The sequence below is a fragment of the Homo sapiens genome, chromosome 16, assembly GCF_000001405.40.
Source record: "Homo sapiens chromosome 16, GRCh38.p14 Primary Assembly".
NCBI classification, from domain to species: Eukaryota; Metazoa; Chordata; class Mammalia; order Primates; family Hominidae; genus Homo; species Homo sapiens.
The window spans coordinates 2,239,402-2,254,499 of NC_000016.10; the positions used below are offsets into that span (position 1 = coordinate 2,239,402).

Below are 15,098 nucleotides of genomic sequence, written 5' to 3' on the forward strand. Positions count from 1 at the left end.
TTTGGATGAGTTTGGTTCTTGCAAAATCCTTCTTAAGGGACATTTGGATCCCTGGCAGCACAGCTGCCTCCAGAGTCCCACTCCCGCTGGCTCAGGATCCCCCAGTTGCTCTGATTCACTGTGCGCTCTTCATCCTGATGAGTAAGGGCAGTGACCAAAGGGCTTTTCCCTGGGGAGTTCTGTGTGGGTCATGGGGGCCAAGACCACCTGGCCTTACACCTAAGAGCAGGCAGTCCAAAGGCCAGAATGGATGACCAGGGACTTGACTTACGATTCTGCCTTGGGAACAGAGACACTCCGTGGCAACCTCACCAGGTCCAGAATGGCATCCCCTGCCAGTCACAATCCCAAGTCAAAAGGCTGCCCTCCAACTCCCCTTGCCTGACGGGCACAGGCACCCATGTGTGTTTGTGTGTGGCTGGGCCTTGGGCCACTGGGCTATGAGGAACAGGAACTTCTACGTAACATCAGCAAAATGAAACGCTGGCAGTACTTTTAAGTTGAAAAATACCTTGTTTAAGACCTCCCTGGGACCCACAGGGGCACGTGTGGCCGTAAGCCTGTGGCAGCCCAATCGTTAGCCTTTTTCTTCTTTGAGCCTCTCTAAGTACATCTGCAGGGACTTCTGGATGGAGTCTTTGGAGATGAAGCTGACGAAGTTCTGCACGTCCGCATCGCGCTGCGTGACCAGGCGGCTGGCCGTGGCCTTTCGCATCATGGCCTTGGTCAGCTGTCGAGCATGGTCTAAAGAGAATGGGACGTGCCACTGAAATCCCACTTTCAGGGGCAGTGGGGTGATTCCCAACTTATTTTTTATTTTTATTTTTTGAGACGGAGTCTTGCTCTGTCGCCCAGGCTGGAGTGCAATGGTGGGATCTTGGCTCACTGCAACCTCCGCCTCCCGAGTTCAAGTGATTCTCCTGCCTCAGCCTCTTGAGTAGCTGGGATTACAACCGTGTGCCACCACACCCGGCTAATTTTGTATTTTTAGTAGAGATGGGATTTCCTCATGTTGGCCAGGCTGGTCCCGAACTCCTGACCTCAGGTGATCCACCCATCTCGGCCTCCCCAAGTGCTGGGATTCCAGGCATGAGCCAGCACGCCCGGCCCTAATTTTTTTTTGTTTTGTTTTGTTTTTAAAGAGACAGGATATTCTCTGTCGCCCATACTGGAGTGCACTAGTGATCACGACTCACTGCAGCCTTGAATCCCTGGGCTCAGGTGATCCTCTCACCTCAGCCTCCTGAGTAGCTGGGACTACAGGCGTGCACACACATCCTGGCTAATTTTGTATTATTTATTTATTTATTTTTGAGATGGAGTCTGTCTCTGCCACCCAGGCTGGACTACAGTGGCGTGACCTTGGCTCACTGCAACCTCCGCCTCCCAAGTTCAAGCACTTCTCCTGCCTCAGCCTCCTGAGTAGCTGGGATTACAGGAGCATTACCATGCCCGGCTAATTTTTGTATTTTTAGTAGAGAAGGGGTTTCACCATGTTGGTCAGGCTGATCTCGAACTCCTGACCTCAGGTGATCCACCCTCCTTGGCCTCCCAAAGTGCCGGGATTGCAGGTGTGAGCCACCGCGCCCAGCGACTTAACGTGTCATTTTCACTCAACTATATTATGAAGAATATTTCCACGACGCAGGAGGCTGAGGCAGGAGAATGGCACGAACCCAGGAGGTGGAGGTTGCAGTGAGCTGAGATCGCACCACTGCACTCCAGCCTGAGCAAGAGGGAGACTCCATCTCAAAAAAAATAAATAAAATAAAAATAAAAAAATTTCCATGGCACTATATTAAATACTGTCTTACAGCACAGGAAATGGCAGCACAGCCTTCAGTCATTTGTATCAGGGTTGGCAAATCTGGCTTCTCAAGGCCCTGAAGCTATGAATAGTTTTTACTTTTTTTGAGAGGAGTCTCACTCTGTCGTCCTGGCTGGAGCGCAGTAGCATGATCTTGGCTCACTGCAACCTCCGCCTCCCAGGTTCAAGTGATTCTCCGGCCTCAGCCTTCCCAAGTAGCTGGGATTACAGGTACCTGCCCCCACACCCGGCTAATTTTTGTATTTTTAGTAGAGACGGGGTTTTGCCATGTTGGCCAGGCTGGTCTAAAACTCCTGACCTCAGGTGATCCGCCCACCTTGGCCTCTCAAAGTGCTGGGATTACAGGCTTCAGCCACTGTGCCGGGCTGGTTTTTACATTTTTGAATAGTTGAAAATCAAAAGAAGGTTAGTATTTTGTGACATGTGAAAATTATGTGAAACTCAAATTTCAGTGTCCATAAAATTTTTTTTGTTGTTTTTGAGACAGAGTCTCACTCTGTCACCCAGGCTGGGGTACAATGGCATGATCTTGGCTCACTGCAACCTCTGCCTCCCAAGTTCAAGCGATTCTCCTGCCTCAACCTCCCAGTAGCTGGAATTACAGGCACGTGCCATCACGCCCGGCTCATTTTTTTTTTTTTTTTTTGAGACAGAGTCCTGCTCTCTGTTGCTCAGGCTAGAGTACAGTGGTGCGATCTCAGCTCACTGCAAGCTCCGCCTCCCGGGTTCACGCCATCCTCCTGCCTCAGCCTCTCGAGTAGCTGGGACTACAGGCGCCCGCCGCCACACCTGGCTAATTTTTGTATTTTTAGTAGAGACAGGGTTTCACCGTGTTAGCCAGGATGGTCTTGATCTCCTGACCTTGTGATCCGCCCGCCTCGGCCTCTTAAAATGTTGGGATTACAGGTGTGAGCCACCGCGCCTGGCCCATTTCTGTATTTTTAGTAGAGATGGGGTTTCACCATGTTGGCCAGGCTGGTCTTGAACTCCTGATCTCAAGTGATCTGCCTGCCTCAGCCTCCCAAAGTGCTGAGATTACAGGCGTGAGCCACCGCACCTGGCCCACTGTCCATAAAGCTTTGCCGGAACACAGCTATACCTGTCAGTTTACGTCTCCTCTGTGGCTGCTTTCTGCTACAAAGGTCTTACCTACAGAGCCCACAAGCCACCTGGCCCTTTAGAGACAGAATTTGCTGGGCCCTGGTCTATACCATCGCTGATATGACCAGCTCTTTTTCTATGAAGTGGACAATTGTCTTTGTAGTAGGTTGAAAAGTGTGCCCCAAAAGATAGGTCCAAGCCCTAACCACTGCTCTGGAACTTGGAAGTGTGACCTTATTTGGAAAGAGTCTCTGCAGATGTAATTAAGTTGGGATCATCTTGGATTTAAGGTAGGTCCTAAATCACATGGCAGGTGTCCTGAGAAGGGAGAGAGAGACCTGAGACCCACAGAAACACAGGGGAGAAAGCTGCGTAAGGATGGAGGCAGAGATTAGAGCGAGGCGCCCACAAGCCCAGGGAGGCCTGGAGCCAGCAGAAGTGGGCGGGGCAGGAAGGAGCCTCCCTGGAACGCAGGGAGGAAGTGCAGTCCTGCCCACACTTTGATTTTGCACCTCTGGTCTCCAGCACCGTGAGATGAGCTTCTGCGGTCTGGGCCACCCGGTCTGTGCTGCGTTGTTACAGCAGCCTCCTGACACCCACATGGCTGTGATTATCAACAGTCTCCCGAAGTCACGATGTCCACAGAAAACCTTTGGGTGGAGAACCTTCTGGTCTCCCCAGCATCATCGGGCGCCCGCCATGCCCCGTGCCTCACCTGGAATGGCCATCCACTGGGCTATCGCTGACAGCGCAGTGCTCTGCACCTGCTCCTCCGGGACCACCTGGTCCACTATGCCCACCTGCAGGGCCTCCGCCGGCGGGAAGAGCAGCCCCAGCTGCAGGGCACGCTCCGCCGCCCGGTGCCCGATGGTGTTCTCCAGGGTGTCTTTCAACCTGGAAATGCAGACACCCACTCACCACATGGCCCCAGGCGGGTCTGTTCCCTCCACAACAAGCATGGAGCGTGGCTGCAGCCCAGGGCCTTACCAGAAAGGGGCGATGATGCCCAGCTGGGTCTCATTGAGTCCTATGCAGTACCTGGGGTTGTCCGCCAGGATGCGGTAGTCACAGGTCAGGGCCACCAGGCAGCCTCCAGCGGGGCAGGCTCCCTGCAGGGAGAGGCCGGACAGGGCTCTTAGGTGCTGCTGGTCCCAACCACATTCCAGAGGGCCAGGTCCAAGGAAGGAGGGCCTGTGCCCTTGGCGCACCCCGACCCCCGCAGGGTTCAACACCCACAATGGTCTGGGCTGGGCTGGGTGTGCACTGGGAAATGGATGAGGAAGGAACTGGCCCCTTAGCGCTCGGCAAGGAGGGTCTGAGGCTCGTCCTCAGCCGAGGGTCATTAGTTCTTCGGCAACAGATAAATCACTTTTAAAAACCATTCAGTTAGGGGAGCAAGTCGCTTGTCCTCTCAGTGCTTTTACTCAATGCTAAAATGCCACACAAGCATTTAGTCATAACTGTCATGCCCCAAGGGGGCCCCGATACCACCCCAGCAGCTAGCGCAACCAGGATGTCCTGGGAACCCCACACTCACCCTGTGGTCACTGCAGGTACCCACTGCCCCGCGCAGGACCCATCCTGTCTGCATGGCCGTGCACCCTTGAGGCTTCCTCTCACACCAGCCCTCCCCTCCACCAGGCTCCGGCCCACACCCGGCTTGTCACAGCCACCCCGCAGGACACCCTGGTTCCTGAGGTTAAGCCCCCGTGTTGTTCTCGGCTTCCCTGGCCTTCCCCCAGAAGGGATGGAGTGATGTTTCCAAAATGTGGGTCCGATCACCCACTCACCCACACAGCCTCCACCCAGGCTGGCATCAACCCCAGGCCCTGGTCCCTACCCACTGGCTCTTTTCTGGGTCTTGTCTGATTGACCCAGGCCAGGGCCCTCACCCGAGGCCCACCTTTCTCAACACGCCCCGTGGTCTGCGATGGCGCTCACCTGTGCACATCTCAGGGCCTCTCCAACCGTCCCCTTCCCCTGTGAGAGATTCCAAGGGCAGGACAGTGTCTGTCCCACCCCCTGGCGCTGGCCCAGAACAGCCAGCGAGGCCACCTGGGAGTGGGGACACTCACGTTGATGGCGGAGACCAGCACCAGGTTGGACTGGTACAACCGCAGCCACAGCTCCTGAACGGCCTTCCAGTACCCAGCGTAGTGGGCGGGGCTCCTCCCACACATCTCCGTCAGGTCCAGGCCGGCCGAGAAGACACCCGGGCGGTCCTGCAGGGGGAGCCGGGGCCACATGCCCATCAGAGTCCACCTCCCAGCTGGCATCACAGCAGGAGGGCTGGGGAGCCCAGGTGCACGACGCACAGCAGGGCCAGGTCACGCTCAGGGTGTGGGTGCTGCCCCACAGAGCCAGGACTAGGCGCTCCAGGGACTCGGCCAAGGCTTCTCCTGGACCTGGCTTCCCTGTACTTCCCAGAACATTCTTCCCTTTCCCGCTTCAAACTGGATAGGAGAGGACAGGCAGCGCCAGGCACCTCTCAGGGACATAAGTGCGCCGGCCCTCTGGCTCTGCACGCCTGGCTCGGGCAGAAGAACCCAGAGGTGTGGTGAAGACTCCTGAGAATCCAGAGGAGCTGCACGTTCTGAATCATTTACCCGCAAAGGGCCAAGCAAGCCAGGGACCCCCGTGTGGACCAGGAAGTGCTAGGGTGGGAGAATGATCTGGAATGTGTGGGTTTCTCAGCAGCTACCAAGGAAGGGCGAGGGGTGAGCACAGGTGGAAGGGACCCTCCCACGGCTGGAGTAGCGGGCGCCAGCACAGGAGCCTCAGACTCCCAGTCAGGGCTGCCGGCCAGGGAGGCGGGCTCGGGGAGGAGTGGAGAACCCACCCTGGGGACCCTGCATGGTCACAGCCCCCTGAGCAAATGACAAGGGTACCTTCCCCTCTGCACAACACGGCACGTTTTCCTCCCGAGGGCCAGACCCCCCAAGGCTGTGGGTGAACTTGTTCCTGCAGCTGAACCCAGCTCACCCTGACTCACACAAGCAGAGCTGGGTGGATGTTTACCCCGCCCTGTCTGCAGGAAGGAGGGCGACAGCCACCTAATGTGTGCGAGGAGGAGGCGGCTGGGACAGATGGGATGGCCTCCACATCCTCAGGCGATGTGAAAAAGCCAGGAACGGTGCGGGTGGGCAACGCAGCTCCGCTGTTCCCAAACAGGTGTGAGCTGGTGCCGCACAGAATGGGTAGGCCGGTCCTTTGTTTCTACAAAACGCGTTCTACTTCCGTTACTCAAAACCCAGGCCTGGCGTGGTGGCTCATGCCTGTAATCCCAGAGCTTTGGGAGGCCAAGATTGGAGAACTGCTTGAGGCCAGGAGTTCAAGACCAGCCTGGGCAACATAGCAAGACCCCGCCTGTACAAAAAAGTAAAAATTAAGCAAAAAAATTAACCAGGTGCAATGGCTCGCACCTGTAATCCTAGCACACTGGGGAGCCGAGGTGGGAGGAGTGCTTGAGCCCAGGAGTTCAAGACCAACGTGGGCAATAAAGGCACTGTCTCTCCCAAAAATTTTAAAAATTTTCAAGATTCAAGAATCGCTTGAACCCAGGAGGCGGAGGTTGTAGTAAGCCAAGATCACGTCACTGTACTCCAGCCTGGGCAAGAGAGGGAGATTCTGTCTCAATAAATATATAAGGCTGGACGTGGCCAGCACTTTGGGAGGCCGAGGTGGGCAGATCACTTGAGGTCAGGAGTTCTAGGCCAGGCCCTGTAAAGCCACGCCAGCCTCCGAGGACCCCTCACTCCCCTCACCTCAGCCAATGCCCGCTTCTCCTCAAGGGTCCCATCCTCCTGGGCCTGACACTGCTTACTGCCCCTCGGCGATGTTGGTAATGACACCGTTCCCACAGATGACACGCCTAGCGTTCGCCAGCACTCAGGCAACATTTAGAGTCCCCTGCACAAGAACTCAGACCAAAGAGGTTCACCCTTGAGAACTCGCCCTGAAGACTGGCCCACAGAGGATCAGAGAGCATGGGTATTGTTCGCAGGACTGGCTCAGGGCACCCAAGTGATCCTAGTGGGGAGCACTCCAGGAACCCACCACCAGGTGTGCTTAGGGTCCAAGGTGACCCCATAGATGCATGGCTCTCCCTCACTCGCTGCCCACAGCTCTCCCCAGTGTCCGCCTGGACGACGGCCCGGGCAGGGAAGGCTGTCTCCCAGGAAGGCGGTCTCCCAGGAGGGCTGCCTCTTGGGAAGGCTGTCTCCCGGGAAGGGCGTCTCTTGGGAAAGCTGTCTCCTGGGAAGGCTGTCTCTGAGACTGGTCCACCTTCACCTTTGGGAATGATCTGCTTGAGGCCCATGGCAGTTTGGGTCCCTGCTGGGGCACACCCAGACGGTGCTCCTGGAAGCCTCCCGTGAAGGCGCCTGGAGTCCAGGGTGGTGGGGCTGCCGGCTGGCCTGTGCCACACGTTGGCAGGCTCTGCCTCTTCCATGTGCAACAGGCCTGGGCTCACATCAGAGAACTCAGGCCAAGAACTCGGGCTGGGGTAGGGAGCTGAACTAGCACCTACCGAGGTCAGAATGACACCGCGGAAGCTCTTGTCATTCTCCAGCTTCTCCAGGCTGATGACCAGCTCCGTCAGAAACTCCAGGCTCAGGCTGTTCACTGGGGGGTTCTTGAATTTCATCACAGCGACCCCTAATTTAAAGAATGAGAAGAGAAAGCTCACACCTGGCACTGGAAAAGCAGCCTGACCAGCCTGCACCCTCAACTAAGCCATGATAGCTGTGCATTTTGGGGGTTTTATTTATTAATTTATTTATTTAGAGACAGAGTCTCGCTCTGTCACCCAGGCTGGAGTGCAGTGGCGCGATCTCAGCTCACTGCAAGCTCTGCCTTCCGGGTTCACACCATTCTCCTGCCTCAGCCTCCTGAGTAGCTGGGACTACAGGTGCCCACCACCACGCCCGGATAATTTTTTTCTTTTAAGTAGAGACAGGGTTTCACCGTGTTAGCCAGGATGGGCTCGATCTCTTGACCTCGCGATCTGCCCACGTCGGCCTCCCAAAGTGCTGGGATTACAGGCGTGAGCCCCCGCGCCTGGTCCTATTTTTATTTACTTTTTTGAGACGGAGTTTTGCTCTTGTTGCCCAGGTTCAAGTGCAATGGAGCGATCTTGGCTCACCGCAACCTCTGCCTCTTGGGTTCAAGCGATTCGACTGCCTCAGCCTCCCGAGTAGCTAGGATTACAGGTGCGTGCCGCTACATCCAGCTAATTTTGTATTTTTAGTAGGGACGGGGTTTTCTCCATGCTGGTCAGGCTGGTCTTGAACTCCCAACCTCAGGTGATCCGCTCGCCTCGGCCTCCCAAAGTGCCAGGATTACAGGCGTAAGCCACAGCGCCCGGCCTGGGGGTTATTTTTTTATTATTATTATTTTTGAGACAGGGTCTCACTCTATCACCTAGGAGTGCAGGGGTGTGATCTCTGGTTACTGCAGCTTTGACCTCCTGGGCTCCAGCGATCCTCCCAACTCAGCCTGCTGAGTAGCTGGGATTATAGGCAAGCGCCACCACACCCAGTTAATCTTTTTTATTTTTTAGTACAGACGAGGTCTTATTTTGTTGCCCAGGCTGGTCTTGAACTCCTGAGCTTAAGTGGTCCTTCTGCCTCAGGCTCCCAAAGTGCTAGATTACAGGAGTGAGCCCTTGGTTTTTTACATTGAAGTAAGATCGATATAACATAAATTAACAATTTTATTTATTCTATATAAACTGCATGCTTTTTAAATCAACCATTCTCTCTTTCTCTCTCTATCATTTTTTTCTGAGACAGAGTCTCGCTCGTCGCCCAGGCTGGAGTGCAGTGGCGCGATCTCAGCTCACTACAACGTCCACCTCCCGGGTTCAAGCGATTCTCCTGCCTCAGCCTCCTGAGTAGCTGGGACTACAGGTATGCGCCACTATGCCCAGCTAATTTTTGTATTTTTAGTAGAGATGGGGTTTCACCATGTTGGTTGGCCAGGATGGTCTCGATCTCTTGACTTCGTGAACACCTCGCCTCGGCCTCCCAAAGTGCTGGGATTACAGGTGTGAGCCACCATGCCCGGCCAAATTAACCATTTTCTATCTTTATTTTTTTTTTGAGACAAGAGCCTCGCTCTGTTGCCCAGGCTGGAGTGCAGCAGCGCTATCTCGGCTCACTGCAACCTCTGCCTCCTGGGTTCAAGCCATTCTTCTGCCTCAGCCTCCTGAGAAGCTGGGATTACAGGACACACCACCATGCCTGGCTAATTTTTGCATTTTTAGTAGAGACGGGGTTTCACCAGGTTGGCCAGGCTGGTCATGAACTTCTGACCTCAGGTGATCCTCCTGCCTCGGCCTCCCAAAGTGATGTGATTATAGGTATGAGCCACTGTGCCCAGCCTAAATTAGCCATTTTTAAGTAAACAAGTCAGGCACTTACACAATTCAGTATACTGACTGTGTTGTGCAACTATCGCCGCTGCCTAGTTCCAGAACCTTTTCATTGTCCCAAAAGGAATCCCTGTCCCCATGAGCAGTTGCTCCTCATCCCACCCCTAGCCCCTGGAAGCCGCCAGTCTGCGTTCTGTGTCTGCGGTTTTCCTGCTCCAGCCATATTCCATATCACTGGGATACCGCCGGGCTTTGTTGTCGGCTTTGTCCACTTAGTATCATGTGTTCAAGGTTCATCCATGTGGTTGTCATTCCTATTTATTTATTTATTTATTTTATTTAATTAATTAATTTATTTTTGAGACAGATTCTTGCTCTGTTGCCCAGGCTGGAGTGCAGTGGCGCGATCTCGGCTTACTGCAAGCTCCACCTCCGGGGTTCACACCATTCTCCTGCCTCAGCCTCCCAAGTAGCTGGGACTACAGGTGCCCGCCACCACGCCCGGCTAATTTTTTTTTGTATTTTTTAGTAGAGATGGGGTTTCACCGTGTTAGCCAGAATGGTCTCAATCTCCTGACCTCGTGATCCGCGCACCCTGGCCTCCCAAAGTGCTGGGATTACAGGTGGGAGCCACCGGGCCCGGACTCAAAAACATGTTATCTTAAGGTATTGGAATGGGTAGTGTGGACTACACATTGTGAATATACTTACGGCCACGGGGTTGTACATTGCAAAATGGCTAGAATGGTAAATGTGAGGCATATTTTAAAGATTTTTATGTACACACACACACACATTACCTCCGGTAAAAAAGGAAAAGTGTTCGTACAATGACAATTTTTTTACTCGAGTGCCTCCCCACTTTACCATATAAAAAGACAACGTAAGCCGGGCGCGGTGGCTCACGCCTGTAATCCCAGCACTTTGGGAGGCCGAGGCGGGTGGATCACGAGGTCAGGAGATCAAGACCATCCTGGCTAACATGGTGAAACCCCGTCTCCACTAAAAATACCAAAAAAAAAAAATTAGCCGGGCGTGGTGGCGGGCGCCTGTAGTCCCAGCTACTTGGGCGGCTGAGGTAGAAGAATGGTGTGAACCCGGGAGGCGGAGCTTGCAGTGAGCGGAGATCGTGCCACTGCACTCCAGCCTGGCGACAGAGCAAGACTCCGTCTCAAAAAAAAAAAAAAAAAAAAAAAAAAAAAGACAAAGTAGAGTTTGGAGTCAGAAAGTCAGGCCTGACTGAGATTGCAGTGAGCCGGAACCGCGCCATTGCACGCCAGCCTGGGTGACAGAGGGAGCCTCTGTCTCAAAAAAAAAAAAATAATAATTTTTTTTTTTGCATTTTGTTGAGATATATTCAAATATGCTACAGAAATGATCCCTTCAGAAACTCAGTTTTTACAAAAATTAGTGGGCATAGTGGTGGGTCCCTGTAATCCCAGCTATTTGGGAGGCTGAGGAGGGAGAATCGCTTGAACCCAGGAGGCACAGGTTGCAGTGATCGGAGATTGCGCCACTGCACTCCAGTCTGGCGACTGGAGAGCAAGACTACATCTCCAAAAAAAAAAAAAAAAAAAAAAAAAGTCAGTTTGAAGTTGGTCTTAGTTTGTCCCTCTCAAGTTTGTAGAGAGAGCCCAGGCAGCTCCCTCAGCCCAGACAGAGAGGACGGAACCAAGTTCAGAGGCACCAGGAGCCTGGAGTCCTGAAGCTGTGCAAAGTTGGGCACAGCCCTGAGTCTGGGGGGTTGGGGAGGGCAGGGGCTGTGACTTACTTGCGGAGGGGGAGGGCCTCCTCTCAGGAGCCACAGCAGGGACTGCTGCACCGGGAGGTCCAGGTCAGCATGTCCTGGAAGCAGAACTGCTGGCGCCTAGGCGTGCCCTCTCGGTGCCCTCAGCTCGGCCTCCTGTCTGGAGGGAGCGCACAGGCTTCTCTTCCAAAAGTACTTTTTCTATCCTTTCCAGTGGGTTTTACCAAGGGTTCTGACGGGCGGGTAGGTACGAGGTTCTGTGCCACATGGGAGTGTTAACAAACGTAATTTTATTCCAAAAGATTCCAATTCTTTTCCACTTCCAATTGAATAACTTAGATAACAGCTCATATCCCCGCCAACTTTATTTTTATTTATTTATTTATTTTGAGACGGAATCTTGCTCTGTGGCCCAAGCTGGAGTGCAGTGGCACAATCTCGGCTCACTGCAGCCTCCACCTCCCAGATTCCAGCGATTCTTCTGCCTCAGCCTCCCAGGCATAGGCACGCACCACCACGCCCAGCTAATTTTTTTCTTTTGTATTTTTCAGTACAGATAGGGTTTCATCATGTTGGCCAGGCTGATCTCGAACTCCTGACCTCAGGTGATCCGCCCGCCTCTGCCTCTTAAAGTGCTAGGATTACAGGCGTGAGCCACCGCGCCCGGCCTCCGCCAACTTTAAAAACAGAAACTTTTATCTCATGACGAACGAACCCAGGTAGAGCGGCAAGGTTCTGTTTCGAAACTTGGGTTCTAAACACAAACCGAGCGTCGACAGACGTGGTTCTCCGACAGCACCCCGCGAGCGCGGACCCCCGCGGGTCCTGACCCCACGCCCGCCCTCCCTCGGCGCCGCCCGCTCACCTGCGCCCGCGTCCGGCTCCACCAGCACCCGCTGGCTCCCGAAGCGCCGCGCGCCGTCTCCGCCGCCGGCCGCCCGCTCCGTCCGCCCGAGGGCCGCGCCCGGGAGCCGGGCCCCTGCGAAGGCAGCGTGGGGGAGCCCGTTAGTTCCCGGTCCTGGCCCCGGCCCCGGCCCGATCCCTGCCCACCCCGGGTTTCGCACCCGCGCGGAGCAGAACGCGCGCCGGGACTCGCACAGAAGCCACCAGCGCCATCTTGACCGCAACGCGCGGGATAAAGGTCGCGGGCTGAGCTCGCCTCCTGGGGAGGGGGCGGAGCCCCCCCAACTAGGTCCCGCCCCGTTCCCAGAGGCTGGTCAACGCCTCCACCTACCGGCCGAAACAGCCGCTCGCCGCCCTCCGGCTTCACCCCGGGCAGCCGCGCGCTTCCGGGGCAGGCACCTGGATCTGGGCCAGGGCTGGCCTACAAGGAGGCGCAGGCCCACTGCTGAAGCAGCCACGACCAGCTCAGCGCCAGGGCAGGCTCTTCTACAGCGCGGGACACTGTAGGCAAGAGGCTGCCGGTGTTCGTGACCGCGAGCTCTCGGCCGGGCCCAGCTACTGCAGTATCGGCGCTGGAAAGGCGATCAAAGCACGGAACCCCTCCCGAGGGGGCCGTCAGGGAGGCCAGGGGCTGCCTGGGGTGAGCCCGGCCTCCTGCCCCTTTGGGAACAGGATCAGAGCTGCAGGTTTAGTCACCGAAATGGGGGTGGGGGCAGCAGAACCCAGCGGTAAGAACAGGCCACCCGCCTTGCTCAGCACAAGGGCAAGTGCACAAAGGCCGGACCGCAGTGGCACCTTTTTATTTGCAGAGAAATGCCGAAAGATAAGAATACAGTCTGTTCCCGCTGGGCCGTAAGCGGCAGCTCGGGAGTGGGCCTTTGTACTGTCTGGTGTGGGGTTTTGGTCAGACCACTGGGAGCACTGGGCAGTAAGGTCCCAGCTGTGTTGGGTGGTCTCAACTTTTGTTCTCATCTTAAGCATTTCCAATTCTTCCTTGTGTCCCAAACCAATTTTTGAGGTGGAAAAATGGCCACTTAACGGAGGAGGAAGCAAGCCTGGCATGGTGACACACACCTGTAACCCCAGTGACTCAGGACCAGCTGGGTAACATAGCAACAACTTGTTGCTACAAAAAATTCTTAAAAATTAGCTCCTGCTGCTGGGCGCGGTGGCTCATGCCTGTAATCCCAGCACTTTGGGGGCCAAGGTGGGCAAATCATGAGGTCAGGAGTTTGAGACCAGCCGGGCCAATATGATGAAACGCCGTCTCTACTAGAAATACAAAAAATTAGCTGGGCATGGTGGCAGGTGCCTGTAATTCCAGCTACTCAGGAGGCTGAGGCAGGAAAATCACTTGAACCCAGGAGGCAGAGGTTGTAGTGAGCCAATATTGCGCCACTGCACTCCAACCCAGGCAACAGAGACTGTCTCAAAAAAAAAATTAAAAAATTAAAAAAAAATTAGCCCCTGCTACTCTGGACACTGAAGAAGGAGTTGGAGGCTGTAATGAGCTATGATCGCACCATGGTACATACTCCAGCCTGGGTGACAGAGCGAGAGTCTGTCTGAAAACACACACACATTCCAAGGTGGCGATAAAACCATCTCCTTCTATTTGTCCACCCTAGGAGCAACCTGGTCCCCACAGCACACAAACCCTAGGTTCTCCTGGCTGAAAGCATCGGAGGTGCCACTGCGGATGGTGAGGAACAGAAAGTTACTAGGGGCGAGGGGACAAGTGAGAAGGCAGTGAACCCAGAACTAGATTTGCATTCCGATCTTGGGTTTATTCAACACAATTCTTCCACTCTACACAACAAAGTACAAACACAATGTCATCTAAAATGCTACAAAGGTATAAAACTCAAAAGAGAAATTTTATAGTACTGACTGTACAATGAAAGCAAAAAAGAAAAAAAATAAAAGCAATGTACATGTTGCCAAGATAACCTGAAAGACCACCATGAACGGCAGGCACAACCATGGCTGCGTGATGACTCCGCAGAGCTGGCTCTCCACTCACTCGCCAATTTCAGAGTACAGTGGTGGGGTGCGGTGTGTGCATCGGTGCACGGACAGACAGAACCACGAGCAGCAACTACCATGGGTGAGAGGATCTTTGAGGGGGTGTGACCCTTGAGGTCAGAAGAGGCCTCGAGAGGCCAGGCCTAACAGGGTTGGCAGCTGCACTAAAGCCTGGGGCAGCTCCCTTTCCAAAAGGACACTGCCCAGCAACAGCAAGGGCACGGCCTGGCCACCATCCCAGGTCATCGGGGAAGGGAAAAGTGTGCTCCCAGGTAAGCAGGGTCAAACCACCCCCAAGAGCCTCACTTTTCCCTGGTGGCTCTGCCACTGAACTGACTCTTAGAAACCGGAAACGGATGAGCTTTCTAGCCAGAAAACCGGAGGGAATCTTGACAGGCACACAGCATCCAAACCAACAGCACTTCTGCAGCCGGGGCCCGGCTGGCAGAGGGGTGCTGCCTGCTGCCTGCAAATCCTGCCAGAGTCAAGGGTTTGCTTTCCTACTGGTCTTCCTTTGGCTAGAAAAGTGACAAAACTGAGCTGGGTGGGGTATAAGTTACAGGGGCGAGAGCTTCAGTGGCCTGTTTATCGGGAGGAGTTGGAGCTGGAGCGGCTCCTGTGGCGGCGGCGGCCCGGGGACCGTGATCTCCGGCGCACGGGGGACCTGCGCCTCGGGGAGCGGGACCTGCGGGAAGAGGAGAAACCACATCAGAGTAGCTCAGGCTGTAGGGGCAAGCTAGCTTCTTTCTGGGCAATTCCCCATAGTTTTACTTTTTGAGATGGAATATCACTCTGTCTCCAGGCCAGAGTGCAGTGGCACGATCTCAGCTCACTGCAACCTCTGCCTCCAGGGTTCAAGCGATTCTCCTGCCTCAGCCTCCCATGCAACTGGGACTACAGGCGCGCGCCACCACGCCCAGCTAATTTTTGTGTGTGTATATATTTATTTTGAGATGGGGTCTCACTCTGTTGCCCAGGCTGAGTGCAGAGGCGCAATCTCGGCCTCCCAGGTTCATGCCATTCTCCTGCCTCAGCCTCCCGAGTAACTGGGACTACAGGCACACGCCACCACGCACAGCTAATTTTGTTTTGTTTTTTTTAGTAGTGACGGGGTTTCACCG

General features: G+C 54.7%; 2 protein-coding genes and 2 long non-coding RNA genes across 13 annotated transcripts in view, besides 4 other annotated features; 2 read left to right on the forward strand and 2 right to left on the reverse strand.

Moving 5' to 3' along the window:
* On the reverse strand, positions 1-12,186 carry ECI1 (enoyl-CoA delta isomerase 1). Of its 2 annotated transcripts, none has more exons than NM_001178029.2 (7): positions 12,114-12,186; positions 11,915-12,028; positions 7,458-7,585; positions 5,005-5,151; positions 3,968-4,038; positions 3,645-3,823; positions 1-744 (listed from the first exon to the last, which is right to left on the reverse strand). In NM_001178029.2, exons 1-7 carry the CDS (start codon positions 12,163-12,165, stop codon positions 578-580), a joined length of 858 nt encoding a protein of 285 aa, NP_001171500.1. In that variant the 5' UTR covers positions 12,166-12,186; the 3' UTR covers positions 1-577. The 2 variants fall into 2 exon arrangements, with proteins under 2 accessions (NP_001171500.1, NP_001910.2); NM_001919.4 differs by having other exon boundaries at positions 3,917-4,038.
* On the forward strand, positions 1,143-2,417 carry ECI1-AS1 (ECI1 antisense RNA 1). Its single transcript, NR_186393.1, has 2 exons — positions 1,143-1,689; positions 2,234-2,417. It is a non-coding gene; the product is annotated as an ECI1 antisense RNA 1 (long non-coding RNA).
* Positions 11,518-11,647: an enhancer, noted in NCBI's record as "active region_10261". NCBI's record gives its function as "activates an Ori minimal core promoter by ATAC-STARR-seq in GM12878 lymphoblastoid cells {active_cell/tissue: GM12878}" and the evidence as "EXISTENCE:reporter gene assay evidence [ECO:0000049][PMID:35858748]".
* Positions 11,858-12,327: a silencer, noted in NCBI's record as "silent region_7039". NCBI's record gives its function as "represses an Ori minimal core promoter by ATAC-STARR-seq in GM12878 lymphoblastoid cells {active_cell/tissue: GM12878}" and the evidence as "EXISTENCE:reporter gene assay evidence [ECO:0000049][PMID:35858748]".
* On the forward strand, positions 12,269-13,822 carry LOC107984839 (uncharacterized). Its single transcript, XR_001752052.2, has 2 exons — positions 12,269-12,592; positions 13,581-13,822. It is a non-coding gene; the product is annotated as an uncharacterized LOC107984839 (long non-coding RNA).
* Positions 12,578-12,637: an enhancer, noted in NCBI's record as "active region_10262". NCBI's record gives its function as "activates an Ori minimal core promoter by ATAC-STARR-seq in GM12878 lymphoblastoid cells {active_cell/tissue: GM12878}" and the evidence as "EXISTENCE:reporter gene assay evidence [ECO:0000049][PMID:35858748]".
* The window catches only part of RNPS1 (RNA binding protein with serine rich domain 1), a 15,011-nt gene continuing 13,627 nt past the window's right edge, over positions 13,715-15,098 (reverse strand). For 5 of the 9 annotated variants that reach the window (NR_104485.2, NM_001286627.2, NM_001286626.2 and 2 more), the window contains one exon: positions 13,719-14,662. Coding sequence is in view for 8 of the 9 variants with exons in the window: in NM_001286627.2 (NP_001273556.1) it covers positions 14,496-14,662 (167 nt within the window). In the remaining variant the exon portion in view is untranslated. Of the gene's footprint in view, positions 14,663-15,098 lie in introns of all 9 variants that reach the window. The other 4 variants (XM_005255048.3, XM_047433516.1, XM_005255049.5 and 1 more) reach the window with 1 other exon arrangement.
* Positions 14,341-15,098: part of an enhancer, noted in NCBI's record as "H3K4me1 hESC enhancer chr16:2303743-2304516 (GRCh37/hg19 assembly coordinates)", that runs on past the window's edge. NCBI's record gives its function as "activates a minimal SCP1, AML or CMV promoter by ChIP-STARR-seq in primed H9 embryonic stem cells {active_cell/tissue: H9 hESC(primed)}" and the evidence as "EXISTENCE:reporter gene assay evidence [ECO:0000049][PMID:30033119]".